Raw genomic sequence first — 16470 nt, 5'->3', positions numbered from 1 at the left:
AGCAGAAGGAAATCCAGGGAAAGGCTGGTAGGAACCAGGAGCTGAAGACAGAGCTGTGCGCCTTCCTGGCCATCCTCCTTAAATCTGAGATGGGAATCCAGCCATTGCACCAGTACATGGATCTGCAATTTTTTTCTTCTTCAAAGGACCAAACGGTGAATACTTTAGGCATAGGGGACCATAAAGTTGCTGTCACAACTATTCATCTTTGTCACTGTAGCTTAAAAACAGCCATACACAATAGGTGTACATGCCAAATGGGCATGGCAGACTAAAAAGACTAAAATGACAAAGCCTCTATGAACTAGGAGAAGAAAGGCAGTAAGGGAGATTAAACTGAGCTGAAACAAAAAGGGTGATGCATAAAAGAAAGAGTTGGAAAAAGATGAAACCCCTGTAGCACAATTAAAATCCCCTTCAGAAGGGCTGGGTGTGCTCTCACACCTGTAATCCCAGCACTTGGGAGGCCAAGGCAGGAAGATCGCTTGAGGCTAGGAGTTCAAGACCAGCCTGGGCAATGCTGCAAAATTCCGTCCCTTAAAAGAATGAAATAAAACAAACAAAAAGACCATAGCCGGGCGTGATGGTTACTTGGGAGGATGAGGTGGGAGTATTGCTTGAGCCCAGGAGTTTGAGATTGTAGTGAGCTGTGACTGCGCCACTGCACTTTAGCCTGAGTGACAGAGTAAAACCCTGTCTCTAAAAATAAATAAGTAATCCACTTTGAAAGCAGCAAAGATTCATGATACTGTAGAAAACTGATCCAGAAACATGGAGAATAAATTGGAGAAACTCTTACAAAATTTAGAGGAAAAAGACAACCTACATATTTAGAAGGAAAGAGCTCACTGAAGTTTTCCAAAAATCAACAAAAGGGGACCAACATCCAGACACATCTTTGCAAAACATATGAAATACCAGGACAAGAAAAGAATATATACAGATTAAACAACAACAACAACAAGCCAGTGAGATGATCATGGAGCAATGTCTATAAGGTCTTAAAGGGAAAAATTTGTGACCTAAGATTTTTATACCTAGCTAGACTGTCTTATACTATATAGGCCACAATAAAGAAAAAACATTCTCAAATGTGCAAGGGCTCACAAAATGTTCCAATTATGTATCCTTTTTGAAATAAATACTTGAGAATGTTTTCCAACCAACTATGAAATGAGTCAAAAGTAAGAGTTTACAGGGGAAAGTGATGGCATAAACACAAGGTGATGTGATTGATATCTCTGTGCTTACTGGTGATGAAAACTGAAACCAGTAAACATAGAGATGCCAAATTTGGTTCTTAAACATAATGCAAATATCAAAATTATTTTTAACTGTTTGAAAGGGAACATCAGTGGCTCTGTCTCCTTCTCTGTCCCCATGTGTGTATGTGTGTGTGTGTGTGTGTGTGTGTGTGTGTGTGTGTGTATCTATCTAGCTATGTATATATAAAATATTTAAATTTAGTTTGAAACTTCAGATCATATTAAAAACTATGAAGTAGAATGAGGTGGGGAATAAAACCCTTTGTCTTAAGTATAGAGAATGTAAAAAATGCTATTTCATGCTCGATTCTGACAAGTAAGAGCTATTAGATCAACTAATGCTTCTGAAAAACCCAAAGATAATCACAGAACTCTGGAGAAAAACGATATAAATTATAGGTAATATGCCAAAAGATAAAACAGAAAAAATGAAAAATATAAAAAGCAATTATGATAAATTAAGATCACAGAAGAGCAACCACTAAAGACAAAACAATGAAGGTAAATGGATCCAACTGCTCTACTGAAAAACTGAATTTAAAACAGAGTACTGTTTAAGGGGAATATAACCAAATAAAATGATTTTCTTTTTGAGATGGAGTCTCACTGTGTTGCCCAGGCTGGAGTGCAGTGGCGTGATCTCAGCTCACTGCAGCCTCCACCTCCTGGGTTCAAGCGATTCTCCTGCCTCAGCCTCCTGAGTAGCTGGGACTACAGGCGCCTGCCACCATGCCTGGCTAATTTTTTGTATTTTTAGTAGAGACGGGGTTTCACTGTGTTAGCCAGGATGGTCTCGATCTCCTAACCTCGTGATCCGCCTGCCTCGGCCTCCCAAAGTGCTGGGATTACAGGCGTGAGCCACTGCACCCAGCCTAAAGTGATTTTTTTTAAGAGCTCACAACTTAAGCAGTAGCAAAGATGTATCAGCAAATGAAAACAAGAAACGAACCAAGAGTGGAAATGTTAGTATCAGCAAAGTAGAATTCAAGGCAAGCATGTTTATAGTGGAAAAAGAACATCACCTAGTAATTAAACAAGGATTTTTTGACGTAGAATAACATCTCATTGAAATATATTAAGCAAAAATCAATAGTAATACAAAAATGAAACAGACAGAAATCCTTAGTGAAAGAATGCTAAATTAATCCCAAGAAGCGCAAACTATACAAGCCACATTTCCTGACCACAATGATATTATTTGTTATTAAAGAAGAAATAATGAAAATAAATGAAATGCATTCAATTCTAGAAGCTAGAAAATGAGCAAAACAAAACCCAAAGAAAGCAAAAGGAATGAATTAATAACAACAGAAGTAGAAATATAGTAGAATACAGAAAAAATACATAAATACATCCAAGAACTGATTCTTTGAAAAGCCCAAATACAAACTAAAAGAAAAAAAAAAGACAAAACACTGTCATGTTTAACTACAAATAAAAGAAAGAAAACGGAACTTTAAGAAGTAACAAGAAATAAATTACAAGGCTAGTATATACAACTTTAGCCTAAAAATCTTGGAAATCTGAATGAAATGCAAAATGTTAGGAAAACATAAAGGAGCAAATTAAACTGAGTAAGAGACATGGAATCTGAACAGAAAAATAGTCATGAGAGATGTCTGGATAGAGATGGTTTCAGAGGTAGGTCCATGTAAACATTTAAAGGACAAATCGATTTCACGCTATTTGATCTGTTCAGAAACACAGAAAAAGATGGAAAGCTATTAAGATGAAACAGATGACAGTGCTAAAAATGGACCATTTTGCAACTTTAAAAAAGCAGTTTTATATGATTCAGCCTTAATATAAAAGCTGGCATAACCATATATACACACAGACTATATGGGCCAATTGATCAGCCTCATTTACCAGGAGACCCAACGTTTTATGCCCCACAGTTTCCCATCCTACCACCACCCAGCCGCTGGGACCCCATCCACCCTGCCAGGACATACTTGCTCCATGCAGGAGTAACAAGTAAAGAGTAGGCAGAACGCCCTGCTGCCCTGCTCTCTCAGGGGAGCCTCTGGAGCTAGGATTGAGGGCACAGGTAAATACTGGCAGCTCTGCAGGAGGTCCTGCACCAGGGCTGCCCTTCTATCTCACTCTACTGCCCAAAAAGAGACAGAAGCTGCCAGGGCTGGACACAGGCACTGCCTGGCCCCCTACTCGGACGTGCTCTGTCCCAGGGAGAGCCACTGAGACCTGGAGGCCACCATCTGCCTGGCTCGCAGCAGGCCCATCCTGGCTGGCTGGCATCCTGGCTCCTCCTGGGAGCAGCCTACCCTCCCTTTTATTCCTCCCACCTGCTCCCCTGACCGACCCACAGCCAAGAGCCAAGAGGTGGCCTGCAGGCCCAATCCCAGCGGCCGAGACCGTCCTGCCTCTTCCTCCACCTTGGGTAGCTGGCCCCTCTGGTCTGCCTCCTGTGCCCCAGGTGCCAAAATCCTGCTGAGCCGGCCTGCTCGCCGGATCGAGGCTCATCTCTGAGCATATGGCAGGCAGAGCCCGGCGGCCACGGTTGAAGCCAGGGGCACCGCATCTGGCACCTCCCCTTGGAGCAGGGCGGGGAGCTGGCAAAGGTCTCGCTCTCAGCAGCCCTGGCCCACTCGCTCGCAACACCTCTGCCGCTCTGCTTCTGGGCTGTCGGGCTTGGGAAGGTGGGGCAGGGGGTGTAATGAGTGAGGGACACCCAGCCAACATGGTCTGTCCTCCCCGGGCAGAGAAACCTGGAAGGGTTGGGTAAGTTGCAGACGCCAAGGGCTGGGCGTAGGGGAGGAGCCCCTGGTTCTCCCTGGCCCAGGGTGAAAGAGTTTAAGGGGAGAAAGGCTGGGGCTAACAGGGGCACCCAGCCAGCTCTGTCCATTTCGGCTGGGCCATTCTGCCCACCAGCAGGTGACAAAAGGCAAATGAGGCCAGTCTGCCCAGAAAGTATGTTTGGTGCTGCCTGATCTAGAACCAGAAAGCTGCATGGAATCTCCGCGGCCAGAGAGTCCAGATTTCCATGTGTTCGGTTTTCAAGGTGCCGCAGGCATCCGTGGGTTTCATAAGGGCCATCATGCGCGAGGCATGATGAGAATGGAGGACACACTCCCCAGGAAGCTGGCTCTCACCTCTTGGTCCTAGGCTGCAGGTGACTTCGTGACTTGCCCCACCCTGCCCCAGGTAAGACCACCTTCTTACCACCCTCACCAACAGCACCTCATCCAGGGGTAGAGCCACCTGTCAGGGAGAGCTGGGGCCCACAGGCAGATCTCTAGCCCCCACCCATCTCTCTAAGCCTGTACTAGTCTCGCTGACCCAATCCATCACCCTCAAGCCCTACCTGCCTCAAAAGCAAAATGCTCATTTGACTTTGGGCCTTGGGGGCAGAAAGGCTAACGATGCCCCAAATGAAGCATCTTCTAGCAATGGACTGGCCAAGGAGCTTAGCAACCTATGGAAGTAAGGGTCTAGAAGCAAGCCCAAAATGTTTGTAACACAGGAAGCCAAGGACTGGTGTCTTTCACATATAAAGAACTCTTCTGAATCACTAAGAAAAAGACAGCAACCAAAAATTCAAAGGGAAGGAACAGGCCATTCACAAAAGAGGAAATAAAAAGGGAACAAAGAGATGCACCCATGTTCAATCTCAAATTATCAAAGAAACAAAACATAAACCAACAAGAATATAGCGCTTCTGCCTAGCAAACTGGTGAAGGCAAGCATACACACACTCACACGATATGGCTGGGGCACAGATTAAAATATGAACTTTCCCGAGCGTGGCTGGCATTGAGTGTCAAAACCCTGAGAACATACACATGCATACTCCAACGCAGCAACCGCACTTCTAGGAATTTATCATCCATTCATTCGAACGTTTGATGAAGCACTTCCCACATGAACAGCTCTGGGAGGCACTGGGTGATCCCCAAGGCTAATGGAGCAGTGGGTGGCATCACAGCAGGAGGGGAGAGGCCAACAGCACGAGTGTCATCACTCCCATTCCTGACGGTGACACTCAGGAAATGATGACAGTGAGCCGAGCACACTGGGAGGGAATGCGTGGGGGCAGGGGGCACAGGTGGAGACCTACTTAGACCCATCCCAGGAGGTGACACTCAGATGACAAGGGATCAGCCCCAGGAAGTGCAGGGAGGAGCATCCCAGCACTCGGCAGTTGCAAAGGCCCCAGGGCAGGAAAGTGTGAGAAACCAAAAGGAAGGGAGACTGGAGCTGGCAAAAGCTGGGGTTTGCACAGCCAGAGATGAGGCTTACAGTTTGCAGGGAGTCCCTAGGGCCTTTTCAACAATGGCAGGGGTTTGGATTTTATTCTAGAAGAATAGCATGTGCCAGAAATGTTGGGTGGTGGGCCTGTGGCTGGTTTTTATACTCTTGCTTTATTGTCTTAGGTATATTTTAAAATTTACTGCAATGAGGATACAATTCTTGTGTTAGAAAGAAAGAAACACTAAAAATAGTCTAAGGTGAGGCTTTTTTTTTTTTTTTTTTTTTTTTTTTTTTTTCAGATGGAGTCTCACTCTGTAGCCCAAGCTGGAGTGCAGTGGTGTGATCTTGGCTCACTGCAACCTCCACCTCCCAGGTTCAAGCGATTCTCCCGCCTCAACCTCCCAAGTAGCTGGGATTACAGGCACCTGCCATCATGCACAGCTAATTTTTGTATTTTTGTAGAGATGGGCTTTCACCATGTTGGCCAAGTTGGTCTTGAACTCCTGAGCTCAGGTGATCCGCTTGCCTCGGCCTCCCAAAGTGTTGGGATTACAGATGTGAGCGACCGGCCGAGGTGAGGCTCTTCTTAGCGAGGATGAGGACCATTTACTTACAAGGGGTGGGAATCCTATAGTAAATGACATCTGTATTCAACAAAGTGACATTTCTATTTCCAATCTATAGAGCTTCTGCTGTGGAGAAGTGCTACCCCCTCCCCAGGAGACAGCAGAAGAGTGTGTGTGTGTGTGTGTGTGTGGGTGTGGGGGTGTGTGTGTGTGTGCACGCACATGTGCCTGTGTGTGTGAGGTTTCATCCTCTCCCTGAATGCCAACTGTGTGCATGGTAAGGTGGCTGGGAGTGAGGACAGTGCCATAGCCAGGGTGGCTGTAGACAGCTCCCTGAGGGGTAGCCCATGAACAAGACCTAAACGGTGCAAAGGAGGCAGGGCAGGAAGGTCTGAGGGAAGAGGGTTCCAAGCAGGAGGAGCAGCCTGTGCAAAGGCCCTGAGGCAGGACCCAGCTCGGCATGGTTCAGGGACTGGATGAAAGTTGGAGTTCCTTGCACGGACGGAAGGACAGGGGCAGCAGCTGAGAGATGAGTCCCAGAGCTTGAGGGGCCATGGGAGCTGGATAGGGTTTGACTTCTTTTTTAAATGTCATGCAAAGCCACCCCAGGGGCCTGGCCTGGCCCAGGTCACCTAGGGCTGCTGGGTTTCATCACATAGGGCAGAGGCTGGCTTTTGCTCTCACCCTCTCAGGGACGGTGCCCTGACTGCCCAGGCCCCACCTCATGCCCAAGGTTACCAGAACGTGCTCTCCACTCCGTACCATGGTTACAAAGAGCCAGGGTCTGGCTCTCAGGAGCCTAGACTGTCATTCTGCTGCCTGAGCTACATTCTGTCTCAGGGACTGCAACTATGTATTCAGGTGAGGAAGCATGGGTGTGAGTTTTTTATACCGGCAAACTGAAGCACTGGGTCCTCTTCCTGCACCAAGCTGGGGTCCTCGGGGCTTCGCTGGTCAGAGGGGGCCCTGGTGCCCTGGCCCCCACCAAGTGCTGCCCAGGGAAGCCCTGCCCTTTCTTTCTGCTGCCTCCCTAGTTGTGGCCACCTTCTCTGATGGTTCCCTTTGGTGCACCAACAGGGGCAGAGGCAGGCTCCTGGAGGTGCACACAGCTGTGCAATGCACACCCAGGGCCAAGGCCTGCCTTCCTGTATACTGTCTCCTAGAGAGCCACCCACTGGGACAGCCTCAAACACCAGGCCTGAGTCTGACAGGTCCGCTCTGGCCCCCTGCAATATCGATTTTCCTTTCTTCCTCAAGAGCAAACCCTAATGTCTCCAATCTAGAATACTCTTCTTCAAAGATTCCCTTGCAGCTCACCGTGGCCATGAATCTACTTCTGGCCCCAGGACGTAAGTGGAAATCTACTGAGCAGGGCTGCAGGGAAAGGGTTCACATCCAACCTATGATCTGGGGTCATTCACCATTCCAAGTTCTTCATCAGTAAAATGTGGTAGTGATGATGGTCATAACTGCTACCCATTCACAGGATTTAGGAGGAAATGACTATGGTGCCGTGAGATGGGTAAGGGGAGGTCAGAGATGGTCTCAGCTGTGTCCTGAAGGATGAGAAGGTGCTGCCAACTGCATGTGATGGGCTCCAGGTGGCCTCCGACTCTGCAGCTGAGAGTGGAGGGTGAATGATGGCAGGCCAGTGGGAAAGGCAGGGCCAGATCCTGGGGCCTCTTGAGGCCAGGAGGAGAGCTGAGATCTGAGATGCAGTGTCCTGGGTCCAGTCCTTAGCAGATACAGGAAAATGGGTTGGTGTGGTGGGATCTGGCTGATGCAGCCCTGTCTCCGGACAGGAGCAAGGTCCCTTTCTTGGCTGTGCCACAGGCCTAGAGCCAGGCAGGGCTGGGGATGAAGAGTACATCAGGCCCAAGGGGGCGTCTACTCCTCCCCTGGAGTGCACGGTGGTAGAATCCTATTATTTGCAAAATAATATCTGGAAAAAACAGGACCTAAGCTCTTGGGTATTAGGAGAAGCCGGAGGCCATGAATGCCTTTCCCCTTGGCACTTGTGCTTGGAATCTGTTCCTGTGCCACTTCCCTGTGTAGCCTTCCTCTCAGCCCCAGGCACAAGAAAACCTCCAGGTTCTTAGCGCCCATTTCCTGGTCTGGGATTTTCTGTCTGCCTCCTCCCCTGGCAAATCGGACCTTGGTGTCCCAGCACCTAGCACAGTGCAGGTCACCGCTGACTGCTCAGCGAACCCACTGGCACATACACTCTGGACAATAAGCTGACTGCGGCTGTCTCTGTGAGACACCAAAGCTGCCTGGACCAACGAACCCACAAACACAGGCTCCCCAAACAAAAGACGTCAGCCAGCACCCTTTGCAATTATTCTGATGATACCCCTGAGACAGCCTGGGTAAAGGGCTTAGGCTTTATTTATTTATTTATTTAGAGATGGAGTGTCGATCTGTGGCCTAGGCTGGAGTGCAATGGCATGATCTCAGCTCACTGCAACCTCCGCCTTCCAGGTTCAAGCGATTCTTCTGCCTCAGCCTCCCGAGTAGCTGGGATTACAGGCACACACCACTACGCCTGGCTAATTTTTGTATTTTTGGTAGAGATGGGGTTTCACCATATTGGCCAGGCTGGTCTCGAACTCCTGACCTCATGATCCACCTGCCTCAGCCTCCCAAAGTGCCGGGATTACAGGCGTGAGCCACTGCACCCAGCTGGTTTAGGCATCTTTTAAACCTGCCAAACTCTTTGACAACAAAGAGGGCACGAGTTGGGCTGGAGAGGGTTTGAGTGGCACCAGAAATCAGAAGGCCATGCCACCTTTAACAGATGTACAGCTAATATCTGAAAAATGGGACCCTTGAGCTCTGAATCAGAAGGCTTTTCTGCAGGCCTCAGCCTGCTGTCTATGGGGTGTGGGGTGTTAGTTGGACAAGAACATCTCTTCCTGGACCCCAGGATACAATCCGCGGCTCCAGTGGCAATGGTCTCAGACTACTGATGAGCTTCAGGGCTGCAGGATGCTGGGAAGTGGAAAGGATCTAGCAGGACAGAGGGGGTGGCAGACAGGCGACCAAGGAACTCAAAATGCTGGCTCTGTGACTTACAAAGCTGTGTGTCCTTGGACACATTGCTGCACTTCTCTGAACCTCCGATTCCTCATTTATTAAGCGGGGGTGAGCGTTTGTAACAATCTTTTAAAGTTCCAGCGAGATGAAGCCCGACATGACAGGCACTAAAAAATGTTGGCTCTCATTATCTTTACTCTAGTTTAGGAGCCATGGCAGAAAAGCAATTTTATTGTATTACTGGCACATCCAATTATTTTAAACCCAAAGATATTTCTCACTCAAGTATGTCCTTGATTCACTGAATAATGGCTGACCTCTGGCTGTTCTGAAAAGCAACTCCATCTGTAGCGGATGTGGTTCCTTCACGGCACTTGTCACCCTGTGCAGTGATACATTTTTCAGTTTGGTTTGTTTATTGTATCTCTTCCTCCCCAAAGTGAAGTCTTCACTGCTGTATCCCCAGGGCCCGGGACACATAACAAGCCCTCAATAAATATTTGTTGAGCAAGTTCAATAAAAACGGGCGCAGCTGCCACCACTGTGCGGCAGACAAAGTGACCCTCAGCCGAGCAATTCCGGCACTCCCATACTCCAAAGGTGGAAGTCACCAGGCTCGAGTCTCTGTAAACAGCCGAAAAGTAAAGGCTCCAAGCAGGAATCGGAAGGGCAGAAAAAGGCAATTTTGGAAAATGCTGCAAAACTTAAAAAGCGAAGCTTGGAGAGTGTGGCTCCGTGCCTGGGGAGGAGAGCAGGAGCCGATAAATCTTCCCTCTCCAGGGAGGTTTGAAGGGCTTTGGTGTTTTGTTTGGACTTTAATAACACAGATCCTAAATCCACTGCCTTATGATGAAAATATATTTGCAGATTTAAAAATATGGGGCATTGGATTCTGAGGGCAGCTCTCACAGGAGGAGCCAGGAAGGTTCCGAGGCTGGGTGACCTCCTGAGGATGAAATCCCCTCCCAGGCTGCCTGGCCTGGAAGCCCATCCCGTGTCATTCCTGCCTAGTGCACCGGGACCCCCAAAGGGAAGGCACGGAGAGGCACGCTGGGGTGGACTTCTGGGAGGGGGCAAGCCTGCCAGGCTTTTTCTACCTGAGCCGCCCCAGCCCCCTCCCCCCGAGGGCAGGGCAGTCTGCAGCCTGGCTCAGGGGTGGGGTGGCCGGGCTGGGAGAGGTTGGGGGCTGCACTGACCATGTGAGATGGGAGCTCAACCCCTCTTCTCCACTTGGAACAAGAGGGTGCAAATGAGTCCCCAGCAGGCTCTTTCTTTTTGCTGAACAAGATGGATTGGAAAACAAATTGGCTCAAATAAAGCATGTAATTAGATTAAAGCCTCTTGCCCAGAGCATTTGGGACTGCAAAAAGCCCTCCTGACTGGAGGCAGGAGACCTCAGCTGGCTGAACCAGCTCCTGGACATCCAGAATTTTCTCTTGACCCTCAGCTGCTCAGTCCCAGTCCTCCCCAGCCAGTGTCAACTCTGCTGAGGAAATTGCTTCTACCGCGAAGTCACCCCAGACCCTGCTCTGCCACCAGTCCCAGACCTAGGGGTCACCCTGTTCCCAGCCTACAGATGCTGCCTCAGCCTCAGAGGCATGCCCCAGTTGGAGCTCAGCCCGTCTGCGGCAGGAGCAACCGGAATGGTGATGAGTCTACACCTGCCAAGCTCTCACCAAAGTGCTTTCCACCCAATGTCCCGAGTAAGCTGCACAGCCACATAGGAAGAGGCAGTTCGGGTGGTATTAGGACGGCCATGGCCATTACACACAGGAGAAAACAGAGGTACAAGTGTTCAGCATCCAAAGTCACTGGCCGGTGGGGGCCCATTCCCTAACACAGCTGCCTTCCACTCCAGCACAGGACAGAGGGGTCTCTTTCCATACACAGAGCCATGGCAACCTGTTGACTAGTGAGTACTGACCCTTAACCTCCCCCCATCGCAATGCAGGAGCTGCCCCTTCTCTCTCTCTCTCTGAGACAGGGTCTCCCTTTGTCACCCCAGCTGGAGCGCAGAGGCGCAATCACAGCTCACTGCAGCCTCGAACCCGTGGGCTCCAATGATCCTACTTAGCCTCCCACGTAGCTAGGACTACAGGTGCACACAACCAAACATAGCTAATTTATTATTTTTTGTAGAGATGAGGTCTCACTATGTTGCCCAGGCTGGTCTCGAAGTCTCAGGCTCAAGTGATCCTCCTGCTCTGGCCTCCCAAAGTGTTAGGATTACAGGCATGAGCCACTGCACCTGGCTGCCCCTTTTCAAGGGACCATCCTTTTGGCTTCCCAGCCCTCAGGCAGAACCTCCGTGTAGCTTCCTCTACCCCCATCTATTCTTGCCACCATACCCTTCCCCAAATAGTGCCCTCATGTCCATGAGGCTTCCTGCCCCTCCTCCCACCAGCCAAGCCTTTAGGAGATAAAGTGGTGTTCACAGCCTTCCAGGGGAAGTGGGCCACATTCAAGAAGTTGCTGCACTTGAGAGAGCAAGTTTCTCTTCCTGCACCTGTTTCTGAAGTTCCTCATCCAAATGGCAGATAAGTTCTGGCTCTTAATGGTAATGAAAGCCCAGGCAGGGAAGAAGAGAAAGAAAAGAAGAAAGTGTGAAACCTGGAGTTCCTATTTTGAAAGGCCTGATAATGAGCAACATATCTTCAGAAAAAAAAAAAAATGAGGGTTGACAGCACTGATGGAAAGCAAGTGAACAGGCAGCACACAGACCACCGGTTACTCTACCCAACCTCATGGCAGGCATCACTAATCAACCACAGCACCCTAATGGGGCCCAGAACTCAGTAAGGTATTCCTCATTGACGTCCTTCAACTTCCAAGCTCTGCATCCTACAGTGGCTATTTGGGAGGGTAGCTGTGTCTCTGCCTGGTATGTGAAGGGTAGGGAGTTGCTTAGTGGGGAAGCTGATGCATCCTTGCTATCCCCGATTCACTGCCATTTGCCACCGACTGATAGACTGGACGCAGGCCACAGAATCCACCCCCTTGGAACTGAAAGGGTTGCTTGGCTCACGCCTGTAATCCCGACACTTTGGGAGGCCGAGGCAGGCAGATCACATGAGGCCAGGAGTTCGAGACCAGCCTGGCCAGTGTGGCGAAACCCTGTCTCTACTAAAAAATACAAAACTTAGCAGGGTGTGGTGGTGGGCGCCTGTAGTCCCAGCTACTCAGAAGGCTGAGGCAGAAGAATCACTTGAACCCAGGAGGTGGAGGCTGCAGTGAGCTGACATGGCGCCACTGCACTCCAGCCTGGGCAACAGAGACTCTGTCAGAAAGAAAGAGAGAGAGAGAGAGAGAAAGAGATAGAGAAAGAGAGAGAGAAGGAGAGAGAGAGAGAGAGAAACAGAGGAAGAGAAGAGAAAGAAAAGGAAGGAAGGAAGGAAGGAAGGAAGGAGGGAAGGAAGGAAGGAACGGTTACTAAGGGTGGTCTATCCTTGCACTCCTGTTGCCATTCCCATTCTCTTAATCTCCCTGAATCTCCCTCATCACCGATCCTAGGACTGGACAGGACTGCCATCAGCTGAGCCTCACCTGACTTCTGTCACCCCACAGATGGCCTTATCTCCACTTTCTGGCACAGCCCAGCACAAGCCTTCCATCTGTTTCACCCTCAGAACAGCCTTCAAAACTTTTGAAGAAGGAGCCCCTCCCCTTCCAAGGCTTCCTGGTTCCTTCAAACTTAGAGGGCATGGTTTTTAGAAACCCCATTATGCTGCTTCCTCTTCCTAGACTCTCTGGTCCTCAGTTCTTTTTCTTTTCTTCCTTTTTTCTTTTCCTTTTTTTATGAGACAGAGTCTCACTCTGATGCCCAGGCTGGAGTGCGGTGGCATGATCTCAGCTCACTGCAACCTCCACCTCCCGGGTTCAAGTGATTCTCCTGCCTCATCCTCCCAAGTAGCTGGGATTACAGGCGCCCACCACCACGCCTGGCTAATTTTTTTTGTATTTTTTAGTAGAAACAGGGTTTCACCATGTTGGCCAGGCTGCTCTCAAGCTCCTGACCTCAAGTGATCTGCCCGCCCCAGCCTCCCAAAGTGCTGGGATTACAGGGGTTAGCCACCGCGCCCAACCAGTCCTCAGTTCTTGATATGAGAATTGAAGAGACCAGCCATTTCCTCCCTACTTTACAGACATCTATGTTGAGCCTGAAAGTGCTTCAGATTCTTTGGAAGGTATGATAGAAACCTCCAAGTGTTGTAAACTGGAGCCACTTATCTGTTTATCTTCATTCTCTGGAATACAGGTGAGAACTAGGCAGTAAGAGGTTCAAACAGTCAAACTACTATCACAAAGGAATCAACACATTGGCAGGAGGAGGGAACAGCTGGCAAACAGAGGGCAAAGAAGAGGCAGAAAATTATGAAACCAGCCGGGCATGGTGGCTCACACCTGTAATCCCAGCACTTTGGGAGGCCAAGGCAGGCGGATCACGAGGTCAGGAGATCGAGATCATCCTGGCTAACATGGTGAAACCCCATCTCTAGTAAAAATAAAAAAAATTAGCCAGGCTTGGTGGCCAGCGCCTGTAGTCCCAGCTACTCGGGAGGCTGAGGCAGGAGAATGGTGTGAACCCGGAAGGCGGAGCTTGCAGTGAGCGGAGATCGCGCCACTGCACTCTAGCCTGGCCGACAGAGAGAGACTCCATCTCAAAAAAATAAAAAATAAAAAAATAAGAAAAAAAGAAAATTATGAAACCATGAAACACAGACGCAGAATATCGCAATATCATTTTGAACAGAGGCAAACAGTCCCAACAGTTGAATAAGATTTGTAACTATGACTGTTCAGACAGCACGATTCCTTGTGCCGTGGCTGAATCATCCTGAAAAGTAAAATTATGTTTGTTGTGCATTGCTTAATAAGGCAAAAAAGTTGGTGATACATTTGGAAGAGATTTCCACTCCAAATTTTTTTTTACAGTTTTGTGGCATTTCAATGAATAATGTGTCTCAGGTTTCTGGGAACCCTATTTATGGGGAACCACTCAACCCACAACAATGTCACACCATGGTAGATACTGAAGTCCCCCCACCGGCAAGACCAAATTCTGCTACCTTCTCACATGGAGAATAAAGGTATCGGGTTTGCTTTAGGAAAGTAATGAATTCTCAATACACTCCAGGTACCCACAGACTCAAATGACCCTGTGTGGAAGGTGCTAGCAGAAACACAGCCAGAGACGCAGCTGCCCTCACAAAGAGCCCACTGTAGGGTGTGGAACCTAGAGGCTGAAGGGCATCAAGAGGCCAGTGGATAGCCTGGACTTCATCCCTGCTCTGCCCATCTCAGCAGGACATGTCTCAGGCTTCAACAAGTTGCCAAGTTCATCTTTTATATCTTTTTTTTTGAGATGGAGTCTCACTCTGTCATCCAGGCTGGAGTTCAATGGTGCGATCTCAGATCACTGCAACCTCTGCTTCCCGGGTTCAAGCGATTCTCCCGCCTCAGCCTCCTGAGTAGCTGGGACTACAGGTGCGTACCACCATACCTGGCTAAGTTTTTTTTTTTTTTTTTTTTTTTTTTTTTTTTTTTGTGTGTGTGTGTGTGTGTGTGTGTGTATTTTTAGTAGAGACGGGGTTTCACCATATTGACCAGGCTGCTCTTGAACTTCTGGCCTTGTGATTCGCCCGCCTTGGCCTCCCAAAGTGCTAGGATTACAAGCGTGAGCCACCACGCCCGGCCCGGTCTTTTATTTCTTAACCATCTCTTCTCCCTCCAAGAACTCCCCAGACACGGGATTTCTAACTGCTGCTCCATATTTGCTTCCCAGTTTTAGAGGGCATCCTCTGAGTCTGTTTCCCTGACTCCCTGTCATCCACAGACCAATGGGAACTGGCGTGAGAGAATCACAGCCCAGGAGCTCAGGCATGGCTGTGGATCCCACAGATCCCCAAGTAGTGCATCTGATCCGTTGCTAGGAAGTTTACCTATAGGCCTCCCAAGAGACTTCCAAAACAATTCTGGTGGACAAAGGACTAACCAGCTTTCTCCTACAAGGGAGGCCATATGTGTGAGAGGCACCATTGAGCTCTATTCCTGGAAGCCAACATGCACCAGCTCCTGCTAGAGCTGGGGAACAGTCGCCTGAGTCCCCTTGGGACAAGTTAACAGGGTTAATTCAGAGCCCTCTGGTCTCATGTTCCTCTTCCCTTGGAAATCAGGCCTTATGGTAGCCCTGAGGTCCAAATCACCCACTCCATGCTCTTCCTCATGGTAATATGCTCACCAAAACCTTGAGCCACACAGTAAGTTCAGAACTCTTACAGCAGAGATGAGCTCTGTAAGCCCAGGAGGAGAGCACAGAGATTTCTGCCTGCTAAAATGAGCTACCTCCCTGGATGAGGGGTGTCTGACCCAGGGAGTTCCCATCTCTAGGAGGAAAAGACATAGAGACCAAATCTGCATTCGAGCCAGAGAAACACCTGCCAGCAGCCTCCTACGCCTTCTTCAAGATGCAAATTCTGCCTCATAAGATGAACTTTCTAGAGTTTTTGCTAGAGGAACTCAAGTTTCCAGCTATGCCACTAGTTCTAAGTATCGTCCTCTATTATCTGCCATCTGTGCCATTAAAAAAAACAGCAGCCCATCCAGAGAGGCAACAAGACACCTTGTTGGACTTGAGGCTTCATTCACTTGGGCTGCAGAAGACTTAGCAGTCTCTTAGTGACGCCTGCCACTGGCTCAGGCCCACCAAAGGTTATGTTGGTATCTGCTGACGTGTGGATTTAGTTAACAATTAACAATCTGAATTAGAATATTCTATTTCTGTGTCTTTCTCACACAGTACACCAGTCCCTTGAGGATAAAACTCCATGTTCTACTCAGCTCTGTAACCCCAGCACCTAGCCCAGGCTCTTGGTAAATGTGTCAGTGATGAATGAATGAAGAGAAAATGAATAAATGGACACATGCATAAATCCTCTTATCAAAATTCCCAGGGAATTCTAGGAGTTGGCAGGGAGCAGGGAAAATACTAAAAGCTACTATCAAGCCTGGCTGAACAAGAAATCCCCCACTTTCAGCCTGTAGCCCAGATGAGGTCAAGGGAAGGATTTATAGAGCACAGGATCAGTATTTCATAAACCCTTCCAAATTGCAGAAAAGGCTGCACCTGCCTCCATCCGTCTGCGGCTGCTAATCCGCTGTAACAGCTCTGTGCCCTCCATTCTATCTCCCACTCGGCGGGCAGAGTTATCCTGTGTATTCGCCTTTAATAAGCTGAAGCCATTCGGGCGCTGCATTCATTGGTATCTGCTCCCACCGGGCCAGCCCCATGGGGTCTCCTTGTCAGCTCTCCCAGTGAACAGGGGATTTTGTGTTCAGCAGGGAAAACAAAGCTGTCCCAATAGGGAACCAGTTGGCTCTCTATAGGCTTCTCC

At 48.9% G+C, this 16470-nt stretch overlaps 1 protein-coding gene across 3 annotated transcripts in view; it reads right to left on the bottom strand.

Annotated features, from left to right (window-relative positions):
- The window catches only part of NTN1 (netrin 1), a 240914-nt gene that overhangs the window by 27322 nt on the left and 197122 nt on the right, over positions 1 to 16470 (bottom strand). The window lies entirely within an intron of this gene.

This window comes from Homo sapiens, chromosome 17 (genome assembly GCF_000001405.40).
Source record: "Homo sapiens chromosome 17, GRCh38.p14 Primary Assembly".
NCBI classification, from domain to species: Eukaryota; Metazoa; Chordata; class Mammalia; order Primates; family Hominidae; genus Homo; species Homo sapiens.
Note: the sequence above shows the minus strand (reverse complement) of the source record. Positions and strands in the feature narration are given on the sequence as shown.